The sequence below is a fragment of the Homo sapiens genome, chromosome 10 (genome assembly GCF_000001405.40).
Source record: "Homo sapiens chromosome 10, GRCh38.p14 Primary Assembly".
NCBI classification, from domain to species: domain Eukaryota; kingdom Metazoa; phylum Chordata; class Mammalia; order Primates; family Hominidae; genus Homo; species Homo sapiens.
Window position 1 is genome coordinate 110,963,255 of NC_000010.11, and position 25,858 is coordinate 110,989,112.

At 34.5% G+C, this 25,858-nt stretch overlaps 1 protein-coding gene and 1 non-coding gene across 14 annotated transcripts in view; both read left to right on the forward strand.

Annotated features, from left to right (window-relative positions):
- The window catches only part of SHOC2 (SHOC2 leucine rich repeat scaffold protein), a 94,296-nt gene that overhangs the window by 43,885 nt on the left and 24,553 nt on the right, over positions 1–25,858 (forward strand). For 7 of the 13 annotated variants that reach the window (NR_199808.1, NM_001324336.2, NM_001441185.1 and 4 more), the window contains 2 exons: positions 871–1,807; positions 22,374–22,511. The exons of 1 other annotated variant lie outside the window; for it this stretch is intronic. Coding sequence is in view for 9 of the 12 variants with exons in the window: in NM_001324336.2 (NP_001311265.1) it covers positions 1,105–1,807; positions 22,374–22,511 (841 nt within the window). In the remaining 3 variants the exon portion in view is untranslated. Of the gene's footprint in view, positions 1–870; positions 1,808–3,907; positions 4,025–22,373; positions 22,512–25,858 lie in introns of all 13 variants that reach the window. 5 more of the 13 variants (NM_001441186.1, NM_001269039.3, NM_001441190.1 and 2 more) reach the window with 3 other exon arrangements.
- Positions 25,672–25,759, forward strand: MIR548E (microRNA 548e). Its single transcript, NR_031614.1, has one exon. It is a non-coding gene; the product is annotated as a microRNA 548e (primary transcript).

Below are 25,858 nucleotides of genomic sequence, written 5' to 3' on the forward strand. Positions count from 1 at the left end.
GCCAATCTTTTCGGCCTGTCATTTTACCAGCAGACTTTTTCTGCTTTTAAGAACCCTGTGCCATTGATCTTTCTTTTTCAGTCCCTAGAATATACACATCATTGGACATTGCCCTTTGTCACTGGTTTTCAAAGGTGATCCTCAGGTCTACCTCCATCAGAATCATGTAGAGTGCTTATTAAAGTACAGATTATTAATGCCCCTTTCCCTGAACTGTGCTGTTTTTCATACATATTTCACTTTGTTCTTTTTTTTTCTTTTGCCAGACTGCTCTCTCTTCTATCGTCACCACCACTGAAATCCTTTCTGTTATCTAAAGCTATCCGCCAATTAATTGTAGCTAGAACTGTTTTAGTGTAGTGGGTTAGGAACATAGGCTGTGAGCACATACTACCTAATTTGGAATATTGGCTCCATCATGTTTCCAAGATCTCAGAGTTAGTTACTTAAAAATATTTCTGTGCTTTAGTGTTTCTTTGTATAAAATGGGGATAACAATGTATCTCATAGGGCTGTTGTATGTGTTATATTAATACATGTGAATTCCTCAGAATAATGCTAGTACATAGAAAGCACTTAATAAATATTAAGCTTATTGTTGTGGTTTCTTCCACTTTTTAGGTCTTATAAAATTTTCTAGTAAAGTAACTTACATTCATACATCTTCCTATTAGATTGCAAGTTTCTTGAAGGTAGAGCCAGCCTTATTAAGCTGTGTAGTTTTAAATGGATTTTTACCTATAAAGGATGTTCATAAATATTTGAGAATGAAATCATAGGAAAATGGCAAACTCTAATAAGATTGTTTTTCAGAGCCTATTTAATATAAATTATCTAAAGTAATTTAATACTGTCTATATTATATTTCAGGAACTCTAATGAATCATTGATTGACCAGCACTATTTTACCAGTTGGAATGAATGATCAGAAATGGGCATAGTGCTTTTAGATCCAACATGTAACAGATGGATGTTACTCCATGCTGATTACTTCTTCAAGCCAGTACTTTTTTGATTGTGTAGGATCTTTGTCTCTTCATCTTTGAATTCAATTACTGGAAAATAAAAGGAGTTCATGTAGTTTTTGTCCAGGCTTGAGTCACCATGAGTAGTAGTTTAGGAAAAGAAAAAGACTCTAAAGAAAAAGATCCCAAAGTACCATCAGCCAAGGAAAGAGAAAAGGAGGCAAAAGCCTCTGGAGGTTTTGGGAAAGAGAGCAAAGAAAAAGAACCTAAGACCAAAGGGAAAGATGCCAAAGATGGAAAGAAGGACTCCAGTGCTGCCCAACCAGGGGTGGCATTTTCAGTTGACAATACGATCAAACGGCCAAACCCAGCACCTGGGACTAGAAAAAAATCCAGCAATGCAGAGGTGATTAAAGAGCTCAACAAATGCCGGGAAGAGAATTCAATGCGTTTGGACTTATCCAAGAGATCTATACACATATTGCCATCATCAATCAAAGAGTTGACTCAATTAACAGAACTTTATTTATACAGTAACAAATTGCAGTCCCTCCCAGCAGAGGTGGGATGTTTAGTAAATCTCATGACACTGGCTCTAAGTGAAAATTCACTTACCAGTTTGCCTGACTCTCTTGATAACTTGAAGAAGCTGCGGATGCTTGATTTACGGCATAATAAACTGAGAGAAATTCCTTCAGTGGTGTATAGGCTGGATTCTCTCACCACTCTTTACCTTCGCTTTAATCGTATAACTACTGTGGAAAAGGACATCAAAAACTTGTCAAAACTCAGCATGCTTAGCATTCGAGAGAACAAAATTAAACAACTACCTGCTGAAATTGGTAAGAGGCCTTGGATTATTATTATTTGTAGTATTTGTTATGCTAAATAATTTTGAGTGCTTTCTCATATCAAAAAATGCCTGATACTTGCCTAAAAACAGCTTATTTCTAAATTACAACTTTTTTATGGTTTACTTTATTCCATTTTCAGCACTGTTAATAGTACATGGCTTGAAATTGTTTCATAGACTTAAAAAGTGAGTTAGAAAATAGATGTAATTAGATCTTTCCCACACAAACCTAATCTTTAACTTTCATTGGAGAATAAGTAAATTTAAAGAAGAAAAGATGTTTGCCTAATTTTCAAGTTGTTGCTGTGTTTAAAGTATCTGTTGATACAATTTTATTAGATATATGAAAACTACATTTTCTCATTCTCTGACTTTTCCACCTTTATCTGAAAGATGTTTAAATTCACATCACTTTCTACCTAATTTACCACAAAAGGTTGACAAATCAGAGCCTTACAAAAGAGCAGTGTCATAAGAAATAGAAAAAAAATTTTTTTTTGCATCTTGAAAGTACTTACATGTTTATTAAAAATAACACAAGAATTTAGAAGGGTAGAAGAAACGTCACCTGTAGTGAATGCAGCACTGTTACCATTTTGCTAATTTTCATTCCAGTCTTTCACATAAAGCTAACTTGTACTAAAACAAAGAAAATGTTTTTTAAAGGCTGGTAGTAGGAGAAAAAAATAGGGAATATAAACGCGTGAACATGTCAGTAAAAAATTAAAAATTAGTTCTGGCATTTTTAATTATGGAAAAACATTCTGAAACATTTGGAATATAGTAATCCATTGACATCAGTTTTGAAAAATTGATAAAGGTATTGCCTCTGTGGGCCCTTTTTATAAGATTTGTAAAAATTGTCATAAGAAGTTGATTATGAAGCTTTTTAAAGGATGTTTTCTTTTTGTATTAAAGGCAATTTATTCTGAGAAAAATAAAGATTATATTTTTGTTGCTTTCAGCATTGGTCTTATAATGAGTGATAAACTTTCTGATTTTTAGGTTTTGCAGCTTTTCAAAGATATGATATTCTGTGGGTGTTTTAATATTTTGTTTAGCTTTGAAAAAAGATGTGGTTTAAATTTTAGGTATGACTTGTTACATTTAACTCTTAACTAGACAATCCAAATATTAATTAAATTTTGGTTTAATTTAATGTGTTTAGAAAATTTATGATAGGTTTTCTCAAGTAATATACTGTAGAGTATGACTTACTCACGAGATATTAAAATATTCCCAGGAATTTCTGGGTGAAAATGTTCCATTCCATGTCTTCAGATAGGAATGTGGTTGTTGAATGACTTGTTTTAGTGTCATATTTAGTCAAAATTTGACCTGCATGTTATGGCTCATTGTGGAATAGAATTATAGGCAATTGGAGAAATAAATGCTGAATTTCTACATAGAAATATAAAAGTTACTTCCTGTCTTTGTTCTTGTTGTTTTGTGTATGTGTTACACTCAGTCCTAAAAGTCTAGCTTTAATTCACAAGTCTCTAAGGACTTTTTCCATAGCAATGCTATCAAATTACCTAGGAATTAAGAATATACATATATGTTCTTGAGCATATAGATAGCATTTTTACTAAAAAGTGAATGTATCTTTTAAAATTGGCATATTTTAAGTAATTATGTGGCTTATATTTGTGGCTACCTAATCTTTTGACCTTTATTCCTAAATTGTAATTTTAAAAACAGCCATTGAATTTGTTAATGGGCTCCTTCCCATCATTAGTGACATTACTGAAGTTTGTGTTTTTGTAATTGCTGTACTTCTGTAAAAATGGTAATATCATAAATGTTGCTTATTTCATTCTAAGCAGGGCATCAGAAAGTAAACTGCTTTTAAAAGTATAATGTTTTTCATAAGGAATTATGATTTATAAAGTTTAACTTAGATACATGGATCTGGGGCAAACATGCAGAAGTCTGGGTCATCTGTTTCTTTATAGGGAACAAGAAAATAAAGGTTAGTAAAAATAACATCATAATAATAAGGATGGCTGTTGTTTGAGCCCATGAATCATAATACTATACATTGTTCTGTCCGTGTATACTTTAATTATACTATCTTATATCCTTACAGTAACCCAATGAAATAGGTATTTTCCCCATGCTACTGAAGAAGGAACTGACACTGTAGAAAAATTAGGTAATTTACTGAAGATCATGCTTCTAGGTTGGCAGAGTCAGAATTTGAAATGTAAGTCTTGGTCGTTTCCACTGTAGTCTCCCCACAATCTAGAAAAATGGGTACCACCCCCCATAGATTTTGATTCTCTGGTAGGTCCAGGGTCTGTACTTTTAAAGAGCAGCCTGTGTTAGTTTATGTGCAACTGCAGTTGAAAGCCATTGCACAAGATTGCGGGGGAGGATTGGGTTTAACAGTTTAATTATAATATAATTCACATACCATACAATATACACATTAAAAATAAACAATTCAGTGGTTTTTAGAATATTCAGATTTATGTAACCATCAGAGATAATGTTAGAACATTTTCAATACCTCCAAAAGAAACTCTGAACCCTTAAGCAATCACTCCTAATTTCTCCTAACTCATTAACCCTAGGCAAACACTAATCTACTTTCTGTCTCTATAGATTAGTGTTTTCTGGATGTTTCCTATAAATAGAATCATATAATATGTGGTCTCTTACGACAGGTTTCTTTTAATTTGCATAATATTTTCAAGTCTCATCAAGGTTGTAGCATGTATCAGTACTTCATTCCTTTTTATTGCTGAATAATATTTCATTATATGAGTATACCACATTTTATTTATGCATTTATCAGTTGTCAGACATTTGGGTTGTTTTTGCTTTCTGACTGTTATGAGTATAGTTTCTGTATTTGTGTACAAGTTTTTGTGTGGACATTTGTTTTCACTTCTCTTGAGTATATACCTAGTAGAATTGTTGAGTCATATGGTAACTCTATGTTTAACCTTTTTGAGGGATTACTAGACTGTTTTCCAAAGGGACTGCAATATTTTACATTCCTACCAGCAGTGTTTGAGGGTTCCAATTTCTCTGCATCCTCAGTAACCTTGTTATTATCCGTCTTTTCTTATTATAACCATTCTATCGTGTGAATTGGTATCTCATTGTAGTTTTGTTTTGCAGTTCCCTGATCACTATATATTTGTTTTTAATTCTTGAGAGCTATCTTTTATTGTAACGGAAAGACAGAAATAGTTATTTTCTGTGATGTAGATCTTGCTTTAATGGGTTTTTAATTTAAAAGAAGTTCTGAGCTCCTTGGAGAATGTTTATAAAATAAGACCTGTGCTCAATGATCAAGTAAAATGGAAATTTGACATTTTTTAAAGTGTTAAACACCTTTAATGTAATTTGACTTACTGCAGAAACCCATAACAGGGAATTTTTAATTCAAAATATATGCTAATTATAATTTTGTTAAACTTTCATTTATGCATATTAGAGCTACATTATTTATAAATATATATTAAATTTATATTATATTAGATGCTTATTCTTCTTGTTTGAATAAATATATCACTTTAAATCATGCCATCCAGTTTTTATTCAGCAGTATATTTGAGGAATATAAGTTTTTAGCTGGGCACTGTGACTCACACCTCAAATCTCAACTACTGGGAAGACTGAGGCAGGAGGATCCTTGAGCCCAGGAGTTGGCTGGGCAGTCAGCTATGATTGCGCCACCGGACTTCAGCCTGTGCAACAGAGCTAGACCCTATCTCTAAAAAATAAAAATAATTTTTTTAAAATTAGGAGTTTTCGAAATAGAGCCTACTATTTAGTTTAAATAATATAATTGGAATTTAACCACGACACAAGGTTGGGCTATGCTGTTGCCTTGATAGGAAAAAAATATTAGAACATTTATCCTTTTAAGCATTAATGACATTTTTATTAATGTAATGTGATTTGATACCAGTGATACATATTCACATGGGTAAAGATTGGCAGAAAACAATAAAAAGATACTGGAACAGACTGTTCAGAGCCAGAGATCTATCAGAAAGTAGCTAAGAAAACTTTTCATTTAGTAATGTTCATTTACTTTTCTCCTTTTGTATGTTAAGGCATAGACAAATAAAGTAAGTGTCCCTTCTTTTTGGGTTAAGTAGACAAATTGAAACCTTAGTCATTGCTTTCTTTTATAGATCAGTGTTCCATTCTTCCTGTCATTCCTTCTTTCTCCATTTCTAATCTTGAAAAAGACTCTTCACTCTATACAAAGACAGTCAAGAACCCATGTTTTCAGAGGGAAAACAGGAAATAAGCACTTTTTTACCTCCTTTCCCAACTGATTGGTTCCTTTGAGTTTCTTGTAAAAGATGTGCTTTTGTATATTCTCTGTTTATGAGTGGATTAGAGCAGGGGCCACCAGATAGACAGTTTGTATAACGAATCTATTTATTCAGGCAACTCTAGACAGTGAAGTTTTAAAGGATTTTATTTTTCTGGGAAGGAAATCGTTGCTCATTGAAACCAGGTATAAACTTCATTTTGTATTTTGCTAATATTCCTGTGATTTCTTTTCTCTCTGAATTGTGGGTTTAGGATTTCTTCTCTTTCTTTAAAGTTTCCCTTATTTATTCTTCTTTATAAAAACAGAAGTTGGAGTATTTTTAAAAATGTGTTTTACCTACATTGTAGGTTCAATAAAATGCTACATATTTATGTAGTATATAATTTCATGTGGGTCTAGTTGTCAAAATAACCTTTTTTGCTTAGGAAAATTATCTAATATATTAAAGTATATGCTTTTTGAGAACCCATATCATTTTCTTCATTTACAAAGCAATTCTCACATCATTCATATGTATGAGAAATAATAATGAGAAATAATAATTGTACCTATTTGTGGTTTACAATGTGATGTTTCCATACATGTATACAATGTGTGATAATGAAATCATGGTAATTAGCACATCCGTCACCTCAAACATTTATCATTGCTTTTCACTGGACACATTCAAAATCCTCCCTACTAGCTATTTGAAAATATACAATAAATTGTTTGCTAAAGTCACCCAACAGTGTTACAGAACAGTAGAATTTAGAACAGATAGAATTCCTCCTATCTAGCTGTAGTTTTGTGTCCATTAACCAACCTCTCCCCATCCCGCTGCTCCCCAACCCCCGCCACCCTTCTCAGCCTCTAGTAACCACTATTCTACTCGCTACTTCTTTGAGATCAACTTTTTTAGCATGAGAGAACATGCAGTATTTATATTTCTGTGCCTGGCTCATTTCACTTAACATAATGTCCTTCAGGCTCATTCATGTTGCTGTGAATGACAGAATTTTATTCTTTTTTTGGCCGAATAGCATTTCATTGTGTATATATACCACATTTTCTTTCTTCATCTGTTGTTAGAGGTTGATTCCATATCTTGACTATTGTGAATAGTGTTGTAATAAATAAGAGAGTGAAGGTATCTCTTTGATATGCTGATTTCCTTTCCTTTGGATATATACCCAGTAGTCAGATTATTTGGTCATGTGGTAGGTTTTTGTTTAGTGTTTTGAGTAACCTTCATACTGTTTTCCATAGTGGCTGTACCAATTTATGGTACACCCACCAACAGTGTATGAGAGTTCTTCTTTTTCTGCATTCTCACCAGTATCTATCTGTTTTTGTTGTTGTTGTTGTGATGATGTTTTTTTTTTTTTTTGTCATTTTGATGATAGCCATTCCAATAGGGTTGAGATACCTTCTCATTGTACTTTCGATTTTCATTCCCCTGATGATTAGTGATGTTGAGCATTTTTTCGTATACCTTTTGGCCATTTGTATGTCTTGAGAAATGTATACTTAGATTGTTTGCCCATTTTTAAATCACATAATGATGATTATTGTTTTGCTGTTGAGTTCTTGTATATTAATCTATTGTCAGATGAGTAGTTTGCATATATTTTCTTTCATTCTGCAGGTTGTCTCTTCAGTCTTTGTTTCCTTTGCTCTGCAGAAGTTTTTAGTTTGAAATAATTCCATTTGTCTATTTTTGCTTGGGTTTGCCCTACTTTTGAGGTTTTACCCATAAAATCTTTGCCCAGACCATTGTCCTGAAGTGTTTCCCCTATGTTTCTTGTAGTAGTTTTATATTTTTGGTTCTTGACATTTAAGTCTTCAATTCATTCTGAGTTAGTTTTTTGTATATAGTGAGAGATAGGGGTCTAGTTTCATTCTTCTGCATATATATATATCCAGCTTTCTCAGTACCATTTCTTGAAGGGTCTGTCCTTTCTTCAATGTATATTGTTGGCTCCTTTATCAAGTATCAGTTGGCTGTAAATATGTGGATTTATTTCTGGGTTCTCTACTCTATTCAATTGATCTATTGTCTTGTTTTTATGCCAGTACTGTGCATTTTGGTTACTCTAACTTTGTGTATACTTTGAGGTCAGGTAGTGTGATGCCTCCAATTTTGTCCTTTTTGCCCAGTATTGCTTTGGCTATTTAGAGTCTTCTATGGTTCCACATGAACTTTAGGATTTTTTTTTCTTTTAAGAATGTCATTGGCATTTTGATAGAGATTGCATTGAATCTGTAGATCACTTTGGGTAGTATGGATATTGTAACAATATTAATCCTTTTAATTCATGAGCATGGAATGTCTTTCCATTTTTTGGTCCCTTTGAATTTCTTTCATTGTTTTACAGTTTTCATCATAGAGCTTTTTCACCTCCTTAAATTTACATTTAAGAATCAGCATTTTAAAAATTACCTATTTGACTCATCAACATTTATTGAAAGCAAAATCAGTTTCTTACTATTGTGCAATATGGAGGTGTTATATTTGATTATAAGTCAAATGATGTACATATAACTGACACATACATGTGTATATAATTAATATCTATATATAAAAGCATATTGAACAGAGTCAGCAACTTTTTCAAAAAGTTGACCTTAAGAGATTTAATTTAACTCCTATTATGTAATTTTTCTGTGAATTTTTTAGACATTAAGTGGTAGGCTTTCAATAAATGTGGCTTGAAGGAAATTTAATAAAGCTCAGTACTATTAACCTATTTTTATTTTATATTTTAGTATTATAGTATTATGGTATTATTACTATAACTTTATAATATATAAAAAGTATAGTATTTTCAAGATTTTAGTATTATATACTTTATTTTAGTACAGCATTATAATATTTCAGTAATATTTTCAGTATTAACTAAAATTGTAACTTGTGATCACTAAAATTCTTGAAATTCTCTCAGGACTGCCAGGAGTGATACAATTGCTTATATGGTCCAGGTAACATTATTTAATAATCTCATTTGAATGTTTGTACAAATGCTAAGTAACTTACTTTAGCAGGAATGATAAATCAGTAAAGGGAATTCATAGTTGTTAATAAATAACTTCTTTTGACTGGGAACCAGCAAGAAACATTAGAAACCTACAAATGAACTCTTTACTTATTACTGTTAGGAAATTGTGATTTTCACTAAACAACAAAAACCCAGAGAAGTTATTATTGCTAAAGGAGGCAAAAAAACAACAACACAGAATAGCACTTTGGGAGGCCAAGGCAGGTGGATTACTTGAGCCCAGGAGTTTGAAACCAGCCTGGGCAACATGGCAAAACCCCGTCTCTACAAAAAATTAGCTGGGCATGCTGGCACACACCCACAGTCCCAGCTACTCATGAGGTTGAGGTGGGAGAGTCACCTGAGTCCGGTAGGTTGAGGCTGCAGTGAGCTGTGATCTCGCCACTGTAGTCCAGCCTGGGTGGCAGAGACCCTGTCTCAGGAGAAAAAAAAATGGAACACAGAAAAATAGTACTTGAACTGTTTTAGAAGGACTTGATAGGATCAAAGGAGACAGTTTACTTTCCATGTGGCTGAGGTATGGGAAAGAGAGGGAGGCAGACATTGTACCGTAAAGACAGCATGTTACAAAATCAGAGGAGCATTGTCACTTGTCCATGTCCCTTAGTTGCAGAAAACTTGCTTAGAAGAGCCCCTGAAGTCGTCTTTGCAATGAAAAGGAATAATTAAGCTTTTAAGACAAGTATAAATAATGTTCTGGTATAAATTCTGACCTCTCTAAATCTGTTCAAACTTGTGGGACAAGTGTTTCCAACTCTTTTTAATTATATAGTTTTACGAATGTATTTTAATAAGATTTGCTCTGATTTTTATAGAGCTGAACTCTGAATATTTGAAAAATATCCCTATAAAGAACAAGAGTTATTTTAGAATATAAGAATCCTAAATGTGAGTCAAATAAGAGTAAAGGAAAGTTTATAACCGTGAAACAAACCTAAATTACTCATTTACCAATCTTTGATTGCCTACTAGGTACATTTTCAAAGGGCCTTTTTATATATTTCTGGATTTAATTTACTAAAATTTTGTTAAGGATTTTTTTTGTCTGTATTCATCATAGATATTGATCTGTAATTTTATTTTCTTTTTTAAAAATTTTGATCATGGTTTGGTATCAGGGTAATACTGTCCTCATATCATAGAATGAGTTGAGACATGTTTCTTCCTCTTTTATATTCTAGAAGGGTTTGTGCAGAATTAGTATTATTTCCTCCTTAAATGTTCGGTAGAATTTATCAGCCATACAGTCTGGGACTAGGGTTTTTTTTGTGTGTATGGACAAGTTTTGAATTTCGAATTCAGTTTATTTAATAGACACATAGTTATTCAGGTTTTCTATTTGTTCTCTATTGAAATTTTGTAGTTTGATCTGTCAGGGCGTTTGTCTATTTTGTACAGTTTGTTGATTTTGTTGGCTTAAAGTTCACATTTTTATTATGCTTTTAATGTTCCATATATATATATACACTATATATATATATAGTGGTGTTCCCCTTTCATTCTTGAAATTGGTAATTTGGGCCTTCTCTCTTTGCTTATCAGTTTGGCTTGATGTGTATCAATTTTACTGATCTTTTAAAAATTCTTTTGTTTGTGTGTTTTCTTTGTTTCTGGTCTTTATTTTCAAATTCCTTATTACTTTGGGTTTAATACGCTTTTCTTTGTTTTCTTAAGTTGGTCAATTAGATTGATTTCAGGCCTTTATTCTTTCATTATATAACTATTTCATAGCTAGAAATTTCCCTCAAAGTACTTTTTTAGCAGCACACAAATTTTGGCAGGTTATCTTTTCATTATTCAAAATATTTTCTAAATATCCCTTTTTATATCTTCTCTGATCCATGGATTATTAAGAAGTTAATTGTTCAGTTTCCAAATATATGAGAGAGATTTTCAGATTTTTTTTTTGCTTTGATTTATAAAATAGGGCTTGTCTTGATAAGTGTTCTAAATGCAGTTGAAAAGACTATATTCTGTTGTTTTTTGGAGGATTGTAAAAATATCAGCAAGGTCAAGGTGGTTGATAATGTTTTACATTCAACAGTGTCATACAGTGCTTGCATTGTATACCTTTTTCTATCTTTTTAAAATGGGTTTTGTAAACAGCATATAGTTAGGTCTTGTGTTTCTATCCTGCCTGACAGCCACTTGTTCCTTTTTTCCCTTCCTCTCTTTTCTTATGGATTAAGTATTTTTTAAATAAAAGTTTCATTTATCTCAACTTTTGGCATATTAGTTACACATCTTTGTGGCGTTTTTTTTAGTGTTTCCTCTAGTGTTTACAATACATTATCAGAACTTGACACATTTTACTTTGAAATAATATTGTATTATTTTGCATATATCCTAAGAACTTCACAACAGAACACCTTTATTTCCCTCCTTCCATTCTTCGTACAATTATTGTCAATACATTTTACTTCTTCACATTATCATAAGTCCCATAATAATACATTGATACTATTTTGCTTTAAGGTTTAAATTATGTTTTTAAACAATTTTTCAAAATTTTTTATTTTGAACAAATTCTAGACATACAGAAAAGTTTCAAAACCATTTTGGAAGATTTCCATATACCCTTCACTCAGCTTCTTGATATTAATTAACATCCTATATAACCATTGTATAGTGATCAGAACCAAGAAATTAACAGTGATACAATACAATAAACTAAACTACAAATTTTAGTTAATTTCATCAGTTTTTCCACTAACGTCCATTTTCTGTTCTAGAATCCCATGTTACTTTTTTTTTTTTTTTGAGATGGAGTCTCGCTCTGTCGCCCAGGCTGGAGTGCAGTGGCGCAGTCTTGGCTCACTGCAAGCTCCGCCTTCTGGGTTCACGCCATTCTCCTGCCTCAGTCTCCCCAGTAGCTGGGACTACAGGTGCCTGTGACCACGCCCGGCTAATTTTTTGTGTTTTTAGTAAAGACGGGGTTTCACCGTGTCTCGATCTCCTGACCTCGTGATCTGCCTGCCTCGGCCTCCCAAAGTGCTGGGATTACAGGCGTGAGCCACTGCGCCCGGCCTATGTTACATTTTTAATAGTCATGTGTCCATAGTATCCTCTGATCTTTGACAGTCTGAAAGCAAAGACTGAAAGGCTTTCCTTTTCTTTCATGGCTTTGATACTTTTGCAGAGTACTCTTCAAATGTTTTATAGCATATCACTCATTTTTCCTTTGTTTAATTTTTTTTTCACGACTAGTTTGAGTTTGGTTTTTTTGTCAAGGATGCCACAGTGGTGATTGTGTTGCCTTTTCCAGTGAATTATATCAATTCATATTGATAAGTCTCATTACTGGTGATTTTGACCTCGACCAGTTGGTTAATGCTTCTCCACAGCTTCTCCACAGCTTCTGCTGTGCTTCTCCACTTTAAAGTTAATATTTTTTTCTTTTTAATTTATCTTGGGAGATGTTTTTAGACTATGCAGATACCTTGTTTTTCCCTAATCTTTTGCTCACTAATTTTAGCACTCGTTGCTGGATCTTCTCTTCTTCTTTTTTTTTTGTGAGATGGAGTTTTGCTCTTGTTGCCAAGGCTGGAGTGCAATGGCGCAGTCTTGGCTCATTGCAACCTCTGCCTCACGGGTTCAAGTGATTCTCCTGCTTCAGCCTCCCAAGTAGCTGGAATTACAGGTGTACACTACCATACCCGGCTAATTTTTGTATTTTTAGTAGAGACGGGGTTTCACCATGTTAGCCAGGCTGGTCTCAAATTCTGTCCTCAGGTGATCCGCCTGCCTCGGCCTCTCAAAGTGTTGGGATTACAGGCGTGAGCTACCACACCCAGCCTCAAATCATTTTCTTTTGCCCAAAGAACGTCCGTTAACATATTGTAGTACAGGTCTGCTCAAAATGAATTCACTCAGCTTTGTTTATTTTAAAATCTTTATTTTGCCTTTTTTTTTTTTTGAGGCAGGATCTCACTCTGTTACCCAGGCTTGAGTGCAGTGGTGTGATTATGGCTCACTGCAGCCTCGACCTCCTGGGCTCTAGTGATCCTTCCTCCTCAGCCTCCCGAGTCGCTGGGACTACAGGTGTGTGCACCACACCCAGCTAGTTTTTGTATCTTTTGTAGAGGCAGGGTCTTACCATATTGCCCAGAGTGGTCTTTAAACTCCTGGGCTCAAGCAATCCATCCACCTCAGCCTCCCAGAATGTTGGGATTAAGGGTATGAGCCACTACACCTTGCTGCCTTCGTTTTTGAAAGCTGTTTTTCCTAATATAGCAATGCTAGTTTGAAAGTTTCCTTTTTTCCCCCCTCAGTATTTTAGAGACACCTCTGCATTTTCTTATAGCTTGCCTAGTTTTTGACAAGAAGTCTGCTGTTATTCTGATCTTGGAGTTTATAAGCCTCTTGGATCTGTGGGTTTATGGTTTTCATCAAAATTAGAAAAATTTTGGCCATTATTTCTTGTAACTTTTCCCTTACTTGGTCATTTTTTTTCTATTATCTGAGTCTCTTATTACATGTATATTAGACTTTACATTTTAAGTCATTGATGCTCTGTTTGTCCATGTGTGTCCATGTATATTTTAGATAATTTTATTGCTATTTTTTTGTTGTTGCTGTATATCATTTCTTCTTCAGTGTCTAAATCTTACTGTTCTATACAATGAAGTTTTCATACCAGGTATTTTATTTCTCACCTCTATACATTCCATTGGGTGTCATTTTTATTCAAGTTTTCTTTACCTTGAACATATGGAGCTCATTGTTTAACAGCTTTTTCACTGTCCTTGTCTTATAGTTTCCTCTTTTATTTTTGTTTTTGTTGCTACAGAATGATTTTTCTCCTGGTTGTGGGTCATATTTTCCTGCTTCTTTGCATGTCTGGTAATTTTTTTTTGAGACAGAGTTTTGCTCTTGTTGCCCAGGCTGGAGTGCAATGGTGTGATCTCGGCCCACCGCAGTCTCTGCCTTCTGGGTTCAAGCGATTCTCCTGCCTCCCGAGTAGCTGAGATTAGAAGCATGCACCACCACACCCGGCTAATTTTGTGTTTTTAGTAGAGATGGGGTTTCTCCATGTTGGTCAGGCTGGTCTCAAACTCCCAACCTCAGGTGATCCGCCCGCCTCAGCCTCCCAAAGTGCTGGGATTACAGGCGTGAGCCACCGTACCCATCCTGCATGTTTAGTAATTTTTAATTGGATGTGAGCTTCATAACATTTTCACATTGTTGAGTCTTGGATTTTGTTGTATTCTTTTAATAGTGCTGGACTTTGTTCTGGCATACAGTTAAATTTTTCTGTAGTCAGTTTAATCCTTTCGTGGCTTGCTTTTAAGCTTTGTTATGGTAGTTTTAGTAGCCTTTTGTCTACATCTAATTTAACCCCACTACTAAGGTAATAAATTTTGATGACTCCCTGATAAACTATATATTATGAGGTCTTTTTGTGGCTGGTAGGAATTCACACTATTCACAACCTTGTGTGACTGCTGGGAATTGTTTGGGTTGCTGCTGCTAGGTCTTTGCCTAGCCTTTGGTAGTCTGTTTGTACCTAATGCAGATAAGAATTTAGGCAAACACTGCATAAGACTTTCTTGCAGATTGCACAAATCTATTTGCTGCTCTCTTCTGTCTCCAGTTCTGCCTCCCAAATTCTAACCATCTTGGCTTTCCTAGACTAAAATCGTTTGCCCTAACTTAGTAATAACTATTGGCCCTTGTTCTATATTCCTTCCCTGCTTTTTCTGTGACCTGGAACCTGCCTCCAGGCAGTAACCTGGGGCAATCATGGGACTTCTGTTGTTTTCCTGTGATACAAGGGAATACAGTCATATATGGCTGTTGTCTGCAGTCTGCAAACCATTTTCTCAAACATTTTGTTCATTTTCTAGTTGCATCATGGTGGTAAATAGAAGACAGTCTAGTAATTCTTGATTGGCTAGTATAAATAGCTAATACTGTAACTCCTGTGGATTCCATTATCCTCTGAAAAGTGTTACATTTTGTTCTGCTAGGCGGTTAAATTGCTGTTGAGTCACCTTGACCGTAGAGACTTAGATTTAGCTCTTGTAAGGGTGATGCTATTTGGTTATAGCCTTAAACCTAGGGTAAATTCCTTAGTTTTGAGATGTGATCTTTACTCTCCTATGTTATAGCCCTTTTGGAATTTTGTTTATTACTCTCCAGCAACTTGACAAGACTGAAAATCCAAACTCTTAAAGACCACAGTTGGCAACTGTTGAAATCTCTGCTCAGCTCCTTTAGCCTTCTAGCTGTGGTTCTCCCCTTGGGCTCCTTGCAGTCTCCTCTCCCACATGTATTTTCGGAGTCAGCAAGAATTTGAGGAGTGTGTATTTGAAGATTTTAGGGCTCTGCTCTTTGTGATTTCCTCCTTTACAGAGTATCCAACCTTGAATTCCAGTCACTCTTATAACCCTGAACTCTGTCCTTTGGCTTCTTAGGCAGTAGGACTCTGGCCTTCGACTTGAGATTTACTTTTCACCTGCAGATTTTTTAGTTACTTCATGGTAAAAGCTTTATAAAAAGGCATTTATGAAAGTAAATCTCATGTGATTGCTGTATTAGTTATCTATTGTTGTGTAACAAATTACTCTAAAAGATAACTCTTATAACAACAATCATTTGTTATCTTATAGTTTCTTTGTTTTGGGTATCAGGCACAACTTAACTGGACCTTCTGATTTAGTGTCTCTCACAAGGTTTTTCAGTTATAGTGTTAGCCAGGGCTTGGGAAGACTCATCTGGGAAAGGATACACATCCCAACTCATGTAGTTTTTGTTAGGACTTAGTTCCTAGCAGGTTGCTGGAGAGAGGGCTTCAATTTCTTGCTGTTGGCTGGAGACTGCTCTTAGTTCCTTTTCACATGGGTCTTTTCAACATGGCAGCTTGCCTTATCAAAGCGTGTAAGCTAAGACATCAATAAAGTGCTAGCAAGGTGGAAGTCAGAATCTTTTGTAACTGAATCACAAATGTGACATCCCATCACCTTTGCCATATTCTGTTGGTAAGAAGCAAGTCACTAAGTTTAGCCCACACTCAAGGGGAGGGGTAATTATATAACGTATACAATTATTCATGAGGCAGGGCCATTGGGGGTTATCTTAGAAGTCTGCCTATTACAGTTCTCTTCTTTTAAGGGTAAATTCCCTCTAGTTTTAACTTTGGTCTCCCTGTATGCCTTTAAGTATTTTATCCACAGTTTTAAATTATCAACACGACTTCACCACCCTTAGCCAGAGCTCAGTGTTTGCAGATGTTAAATCCAGCTTTCTCTTAGGACAAAAATGTTCTACCATGATAACATTTTCTTCATCTTTTTCCCCCATAGTTAGCCACTAAATATTTTACGTAGATGTCTCACTGATATCTTAAATTCTTCATGACCAAACTGTAACTTCAGCTCAACTTTTCTTCCTTGTGGATTCCATTCCTCTCTCATAATTGCATCTTATCTTCTCTATCAACCCAAGCTCAGTATCTTCGGATCAGAGAATTTTGTTGTTGTTCTGATTCTAGTCAAGGTGTAGCCTACTCACTAGACAGGTACTGGGCCACCAACTGTTTGTTACTAGTTTGCCCAAATTAAGAACAGAAATTGAAAGTAAGCATTTAGAATCTTACATAACAATTTGACATTGCTGAGACATCCAAGTGTGTGAGTTTGTGTTTTAAATATTCATCTACAACCAGTTGGGAACAGCAAAAGACAAAGAACCAGGCCTTCACCATCTGTAGTCTGAAAAGCGTTGTTCTACCCCATTCCTGTCACTTTTTTTTTTTTTTTTTTGAGATGGTCTCACTCTGTCGCCTAGGCTGGAGTGCAGTGGCGCAGTCTCTGCTCACTGCAAGCTCCGCCTCCCGGGTTCATGCCATTCTCCTGCCTCAGCCTCCCGAGTAGCTGGGACTACAGGCGCCCACCACCATGCCCGGCTAATTTTTTGTGTTTTTAGTAGAGACGGGGTTTCACCGTGTTAGCCAGGATGGTCTCGATCTCCTGACCTCGTGATCTGCCCACCTCGGCCTCCCAAAGTGTCCTGTCACTTTTTCTTCTCTCTTGATAGTAGGCCTGTTGTTCACTCACTTACTTCCACTGCCATTGAGGTAGTATAGACCTTCACACTATTTCTCGTGGGCTAATTGCAGTAGCTTCAACCTAGGCTCTGTGTTTTTTATTTGTCTTTCTCAAGTCCATCCATTCAAACCTAGAGAAAACAGACTTTTTAGAACAGTACTCTGATTATCATGGTTTGCTTCAAAACTTTAAATTGTGCTTTATTATCTGGTCAAAATGGTCTAGATTCCTTAGGTTGATATTTAAGACCCTAGATTTCTCACTTTGTTCCCCTCCTCTCCTTATTGCTTATTTTCCCTCCCAATCCCCTGGGTCTCAGTTCAAATATGCTTTTTTTTTTCACCCCAACTTCCCCCAACAGTCAGTTCCAACTTCCTTTCCTTATGTGTTTTCTTGTTGTTGTTTACAGCAGTTATCACATTCTGACACTTTATTTCCTTATTTTATGATTCCCCACTCCATGCACACTACAGTGTAAGTTTCATGTGGATGGAAACTTGCTTTGTTTCCTGCACTGCTGAATCTTTCATGTAGATGGAAACTTGTTTCATTTCCTGCACTGTTGAATCTCTAGTAGGTGCACAGTAAGTTTTTCTTTCATGAATGAGTCAGTGAAATGGGTCACCACCTTAAAGATAAAGAACTTTGTGAATGGCCATGAAGATCCAAAAGAATGGCTCTTTAATGGTGAAATTTTATAAGCAAGCAGTGAAGGACCTATTTGGAGCAGAGACTCTCTAGCCTCCCTCAAATCACATTATAGTCTTTTTACGAATTGTAAGTTTCATGAATACAAACATTTAGTATATTGTAGTCTGTTTCTTCAGTGCCCAGTATTGTGTCTGGAAAAAGAGAATGTACATATCAATAATTTTTTGTCTGAATGAATGAATTAATGCAGTAAGTGTTCCTACCAAGCTCCCAGCTGTGGCTTCTACTCCTGGTGACTCTGCATCACATTTCTCTCCAGTTCTGGGGCAGAGGTTTGTCCTTAGATCTCAAAAGGATGTAAGAAAAGTTGATAATCTTCACTTTGTTCAGCCTTTTTCTTGTGAGGACAGGAACGATGACTTCAAAATTTTTTATGTGTTAGATTGGAAACTGGAAGTCGGCTGTAAGTTTTTATAGAAGATTTTTACTAAATTGAGGTAATTCCCCACTGTTTCTAAATTGGTGACAGTTTTTAACATGAATGCATTTTGAATTTGTTAAAAGTTTTCCTTGTATGAATCATCAAATGATCTTACTTCTTTAGACTGTTGATATGGTAAATAACATTGATTGATTTTCAAATATTAAACCCACCTTGCATATCTGGAATTAATCCTAATCATTCTCGGTCATGATGTATAATCCCTTTTATATTGTTGAATTCAGTTTTCTTATTTATTTATTTATTTATTTATTTATTTTTTTAAGTTTTAGGGTACATGTGCACATTGTGCAGGTTAGTTACATATGTATACATGTGCCATGCTGGTGCGCTGCACCCACTAACTTGTCATCTAGCATTAGGTATATCTCCCGATGCTATCCCTCCCCCCTCCCCCCACCCCACAACAGTCCCCAGAGTGTGATGTTCCCCTTCCTGTGTCCATGTGATCTCATTGTTCAGTTCCCACCTATGAGTGAGAATATGCGGTGTTTGGTTTTTTGTTCTTGAGATAGTTTACTGAGAATGATGATTTCCAATTTCATCCATGTCCCTACAAAGGACATGAACTCATCATTTTTTATGGCTGCATAGTATTCCATGGTGTATATGTGCCACATTTTCTTAATCCAGTCTATCATTGTTGGACATTTGGATTGGTTCCAAGTCTTTGCTATTGTGAATAATGCCGCAATAAACATACGTGTGCATGTGTCTTTATAGCAGCATGATTTATAGTCCTTTGGGTATATACCCAGTAACGGGATGGCTGGGTCAAATGGTATTTCCAGTTCTAGATCCCTGAGGAATCGCCACACTGACTTCCACAATGGTTGAACTAGTTTACAGTCCCACCAACAGTGTAAAAGTGTTCTTATTTTTCCACATCCTCTCCAGCACCTGTTGTTTCCTGACTTTTTAATGATTGCCATTCTAACTGGTGTGAGATGGTATCTCATTGTGGTTTTGATTTGCATTTCTCTGATGGCCAGTGATGATGAGCATTTTTTCATGTGTTTTTTGGCTGCATAAATGTCTTCTTTTGAGAAGTGTCTGTTCATGTCCTTTGCCCACTTTTTGATGGGGTTGTTTGTTTTTTTCTTGTAAATTTTCTAATATTTTGTTGAGAATTTTTGTGTCTTAAGTTCCTGACATAGAAATCTCATGAGAGACATTGATTTATAGTTTTCTTTTTTGTACTGTCTTTGATTTTAATATCAAGGTAATACCTCATAAAATGAGTTTGAAATTGTTTCCTCTATTTTTTGGAAGACATTGCATAAAATCGGTGTTAATTCATTTCTAAGCATTTGGTAAAAGTCTGCAGTGAAGCCATCTGGACCTAGAATTTCTTTTTTGAAAAACTTCTTAGTTACAAATATTTATTTAATGGCAGTAGTACTATTCAGGTTTTCTGTTTCATCTTGATTGAGTTTTGGTAGTTTGTGGCTTTGAAATAATTAGGTTATATCTTATAAGTTTTTGAATTTATGATTTTAATTACAAAGATTTTTGTAATATGTCCTTTTTATCTTTTTAAACACCATAGGATCAGTATTCCTTTTTTTTATTGCTAATATTTGAAATATGTGCCTTCTCCCTTTTTTATCTTTGTAAGTCATGGCAGAGGGCTATAAACATTGATTTTTTTCCACCAAAAAACTATCTTATATTTACATTATTCTCTTCCTTTTTTCATTTTTATTGATTTATACTCTTATTTTTATTACCTTCCTTTTGCTTGCTTGGACTTATTTTTATCTTTTTCTGTTTTCTTGAGATGGAGACTTAGATTACTGATTTGAGATCCTGCCTCTTTTGTAAGGTAAAAATTTAGTGCTATAAACTTCCCTCTTAGCACTAGCTTAGCTATGTCCCATAAGTTTTTTTATTATAAAATATGCATAACATATAATTTATCATTTTAGCCATTTTTACTTGTAGAGTTCACTGGCATTAAGCACATTGACATTGCTGTGCAACGATTACCATTATTCATCTCCAGAACATTTTCGTCATCTGAGACTGAAACTCTGTACCTGCTGAACAATAAGTCCTCATTCCCCTCTCTCCTCAGCACCTACTAACCACGGTTCTGCTTTCTGTCTCTATGAATTTGACTATTCCAGGTACCTCATATAAGAGGGATCATAAAATTGTTTTTTTGTGTGTGGCTTATTTCACTTGGTTTATAATGTTTTCCAGGTTTATCCATGTTTAGCACCTATCAGAAATGTATTCAAGTCTGTATAATACTCCGTTATATAAACATACCACATTTTGGTTATTCATTCGTTAATAGACACTTGGGTTGTTTCCACATTTTGATTATTGTAAATAATGCTGCCATGAACATTGGTGTACAATTACCTGTTTGTGTCCCTGCTTTCAGTTCTTTTCGATATATACCTTGAAGTTGAATTGCTGGATTATATGGTAATTTTATGTTTAATTTTTTGAAGAACCACTGTACAGTTTTTCACAGCAACTGTACCATTTCCCAACAGCAATGCACAAAGGTTCCGATTTCTCCACATCCTCACTAGTACTTGTTATTTTCTATTTTTTGATAATAGCCATCCCAGTGGGTATGAAGTGGTATCTTGTTGTGATTTGCATTTCCCTAGTGATTACTGATGTTGAGCGTCTTTTCATGTGTTTATTGCCCACTTGTATATCGTTAGAGAAATATCTATTGAAGTCCATTGCCCATTTTAAAATTGGCTTCTTTGAGGTTTTTTGTGGTGGTCTTGTTTTATTGTAGTTCTTTATATATTTTTGGATATTAATCCATTATGAGATATATGATTTGCATATATTTTCTCCCACTATATAGGTTGCCTTTTCACTCTTCATAGTATCCTCTGATGCACTAAAGTTTTAAATTTTGATAAAATCTAACATCGATTTTTCTTTTTTTATTATGTATAGCTTAAAAATGTGTTCCACACCCATTCTTCAGAGTTCTGTAGTTTGTGCTTTTCTGTATCTCCAACCTCTGCCTTAAAAAATAATAATAAATAGAAAAATCTTGACAAGACCAATTAAAAATGAAAAGGTTTTTTAAAGCTCAGTAACACTGCAAGTAATTTAAATTGCCAATACAGAGCTTTCAACCAGAATGGAAAGGGAGAAATATACCTTATTTTCTGTTCTTTTAGAGTCCTAGTAAATTGAGAAGCAGTTTTTATTTGTAAATGTCAATTTATGCATTTATATAACATCAGAACACATGCATATTTGAAAGCATATATGAGATTTCATATTTGAAAGCTGGATGTAGCTCACAATCAACTTGAACACCTTCCAAAGGAGACTGAAAACAGTACACAGATAACCAACTTTGGCAACACAGTGAACTGCTAGACCTCCTAGATACTATAGGCATGAGAGGAAAAAGAAGATACTGATAGCTATTAATAGCTAACTGGATATTAAGAAGATTATCTTGATCCATTTTGGTAGTGAAAATTCAAGATTAAAATTCACAATTATCAAAGTTGTAAAACTTTTAAGATAATATTTTAAAATCACTTTTCCATTTCCATTTATTTCCATGTCTTGAGGTAGATTATGACCCTCAAACTGAACTCAAGGTGTATCTGATATTATTGTGCTGAATTTGGTTAACAAAATCAGTACTTCAAATTTTGGAATATATGTAAACATTTGTGGCTGAATTGGTTACTTAAAGAGGTTGGAAAAGTAATCATTCAGAAACAACATTTTAATTTTATCAGATGTCATCTTGAAGTAGTGGTTTCAGATTTGTGGTTGACTTAGTTTTTGAGAAAATACAATTGTGATACAGAAAAAAGAAGTTTTTATTTTCTGGCAATGCAAGTATGTTCACTAAATGATTTAAAATTTTAAAATAAAAGTTGCCTATCTAATAAGGTTATGTTTCCCGTTGTTTGTGTTCAGAAATTATAGATTTATTTTCTTGCTTAGAAGTATTATCTAGTATGTTCTTTAATAATGCTTATTGAATTTTTATGTTGGTCAATTTACAGGTGAATTATGTAACCTCATTACGCTGGATGTAGCTCACAATCAACTTGAACACCTTCCAAAGGAGATTGGAAACTGTACACAGATAACCAACCTTGACTTGCAGCACAATGAACTGCTAGACCTCCCAGATACTATAGGTATGAGAGGAGAAAGGAGATATTGATAGCTGTTAATAGCTAACTGGATATTAATAGGACTATTTTTGATCCATTTGGTAATGAAAATTCAGGAGTAAAATTCACAATTACCAAAGTTGTAAAACTTTTAAGATAATATTTTAAAATCATTTTTCATTTCCTTTTCTTGGCAAAGAAAATAGGTTTTAGGAAATGAGCCCAATGGGATTATAAAAGAGAGAGAATATTGAGTTACATGTATATATATTCTGTCATAGTTTGAATTGCAAAATGGGTGGCTTTTTCTATTTCTGCTTATTTCTGAGTTGCATGTTATTATACTGGGTGTGGTCCTTTCTTTGCTAAAGTATTCCATACTGAAAAATAAAACCATTGCTATTTAGTTTTTTAAACATGGCCAATATACTTTAAAGTTTGTTTATCTGTAATACTAAGGGGATAAGCAAGGAGATGACTTGAAGTTCAAAATATGTTTTATAGACTTAGCCAAATTGCAAAAAATTGAATTGAGCTGTGATATGTTTTGTGTTTATGTAGTCTTATTTTTCCGATTGCCCATAAATTTATACCAGTAAAGTGAATTTTAAAAATTCTGATGCCTTTTTAGTTATTAATGTGGTATAAGGATACTATAATGTTTATTTAGAAAAATTACATCTCTACTTAATTTACATAATTTCAGTCATGAATATTTAGTATTTTAATTTTTTAATTTTTATTTTTTTTGAGACAGAGTTTCACTCTGCCTCTCAGGCTGGAGTGCAGTGGCGTGATCTTTGCTCACTGCAGCCTCCGCCTCCTGGGTTCATGCGATTCTCCTGCTTCAGCCTCCTGAGTAGCTGGGACTACAGGCGTCCACCACCACGCCTGGCTAATTTTTTTCTATTTTTAATAGAGATGAGGTTTCACTATGTTGGCCAGGCTGGTCTTGAACTCCTGACCTCAGGTGATCTGCCTGCCTCTGCCTCCCAAATTGCTGGGATTACAGGCCTTAGCCACCGTGCTTGGTCCAGTCATGAATATTTTAGAGGCATGATTACTAAATCATTTGAGGCCTGTGATGATGTTATCTTTCTCCAGAAGAGTTTTTGTCTGCCTCTGTTGGGTACCTAGTAGAGAGGGGATCACTTCAATCAATTCGTGTTCAAGGCTTGAGATGTGTGTGGTCCCCCAAGTGATTAAAAGTTTTGCTGCAGGCTAACTGGATGACTATTTTATTTCCAGTTCACCCTTACTGGTAGGGTGCAGCTCTAGAGGGTCCCAGTTGAGGTTGATGACTAGAGTCCCCACCCTTGGCAGGCCCTAGATTTTGACTCTTGCTGGAAAAATAACTTAGCCTTTTAGCTGCATCTTCCAGTTAGGGCTGTGTTCTTAGGACAGAATTATCTCCATTGTTTTGCTTGTATCTGGGTTCCCAGCTTGTTTCTGTTCTGGTGCTTAGTCATTACGTTGTTAACTCTCTGATTTTGGTTTTGGAAGATGTTTTTATTTATTTATTTTTTTATTGGGAGAATTTATTTGAATTACCTACCATTACTTGAAACAAAGCAGTTGTTAGGGAATTTCTTAGCAGGGTTGAGTAGATTGTCTTAGGTTATACAGGACAATTATTTACAGAAAAGCAAGCTGAGACATGGATGTAATAAATAGCCGTTAGAATCTATGTTTCCCTGATTTTTGGCCCATGACACTATCGTATTACTATTTGTAGTGGAAAGAGATTACATATTCTAGTTAACTGGTTTATGGTTTAGATGTCCCTCTGAAAGGCAAGATTGTCTCCAACACATAATGAATTATTCTATTAATATCCAAAATAAATATTCTACTAAATGTCCTGTATAAAATAAGAGAATCAGATTTCTGGTTCAAGATAATAAGGACCAAGCACAATTATTTCATGCTTTTTTTTCTCTTTAAAATCTATTGAAATGGCCAAGATGAACAAGGAGATGTGACCTTAGGAGAAAAAAAACATAGGATATTTAAACTGCATGTTTAAAACATGATGAGGCTGATACAAAAAGGGAACAAAGAATAAAATACAATTCTTAGAGATATGTTTGCCAAATCAAATTTAATGGAAAATTCCATATAACCAAATGAACACAGCCAGAGACCAAAGTGATGATCTCTAGGATAAATTAAAAGTCCCCTAGAATCTAGATCAAAAAGAAATGTATACAAAAGAAGTGAAAAGTTAAAAAGTCATGGCAGATAGGACTAGACGTTCCAGAAGGCCAAATAGTGGTGATAGTTATAAAATATAATTTTATAATGTTTCCCTGAACTTGATAAAAACCCGGATAATAAGACCAAAATTGCTTACCAAGAAGAAATAAATTAAAAAGTTACATTCTGGTGGTAGTTTTAAATATTAGATGTATTTGTTTTGAATAAATAATAAATTCACATGTAATGTTATACAACCTATCTTTACCTGGTTTTTGGTTTCAGGGTAATGCTGGCTACGTATGTTCAATTTTTGGAATAGTTTGTATGAAATTGCATTATTTCTTCCTTTAATATTTGATAAAATTCACCAGTGAAGCCATCCAGGACAGGACTTTTCTTTATGGGAATTTGTTTTAAAGCAATTTCAATTACTTTAATAAATATAGGGCTATTCAGGTTATCACTTTCTTCTTCAGCAAACTTGGTCATATGGGTCTTTCAAGGAATATATTTGTTTTATTTCAATTATCACATTTAAAAGCATTAAGTTGTTCATAACATTCTTATTATTTTAATATCTGTAGAATCTATAGTAATGCCACCTCTCTAATTCCTGATATCAAGAATTTGTATGTTTTCTCTTTTTCTTAATCATTCTGGTTAGAAGTATATCAATTGTGTTGATCCTCTCTTAGTTTTATTGATTTTCCCTATTGTTTCTCTGGTTTTTATTTCATTGATTTCCATTTTGAACTTTATTTCACCAGCTTACTTTGAGTTTTATTTGTTCTTTTTCTAGTTTCTTATGGTGGCAGCTTGAGGTCATTAATTTGAGACCTTTCTATTATTCTCATAAAGACAGTTAGCACTGTAAATTTCCCCTTAAGTACTGCTTCAGCAGCATCCCACAAATTCTGATATGTTGTATTTTCCTTTTAAAAGTTTTTTCTAATTTACCCTTTTGTTTCTTCTGTGATCTATGGCTTTATTAGGTTGGTACAAAAGCAATCGCGGTTTTTGCTATTACTTTTAAAGGCAAAAACTGAGACTACTTTTGCACCAACCTGATAGAAGAATGTTATTTTGTTCCCAAAAGCTTGACAATTTTCCATGATATATTATTGACTTCTAATTTACCTCCATTGTGGTCAAGAACATTCCTGATAGGACTT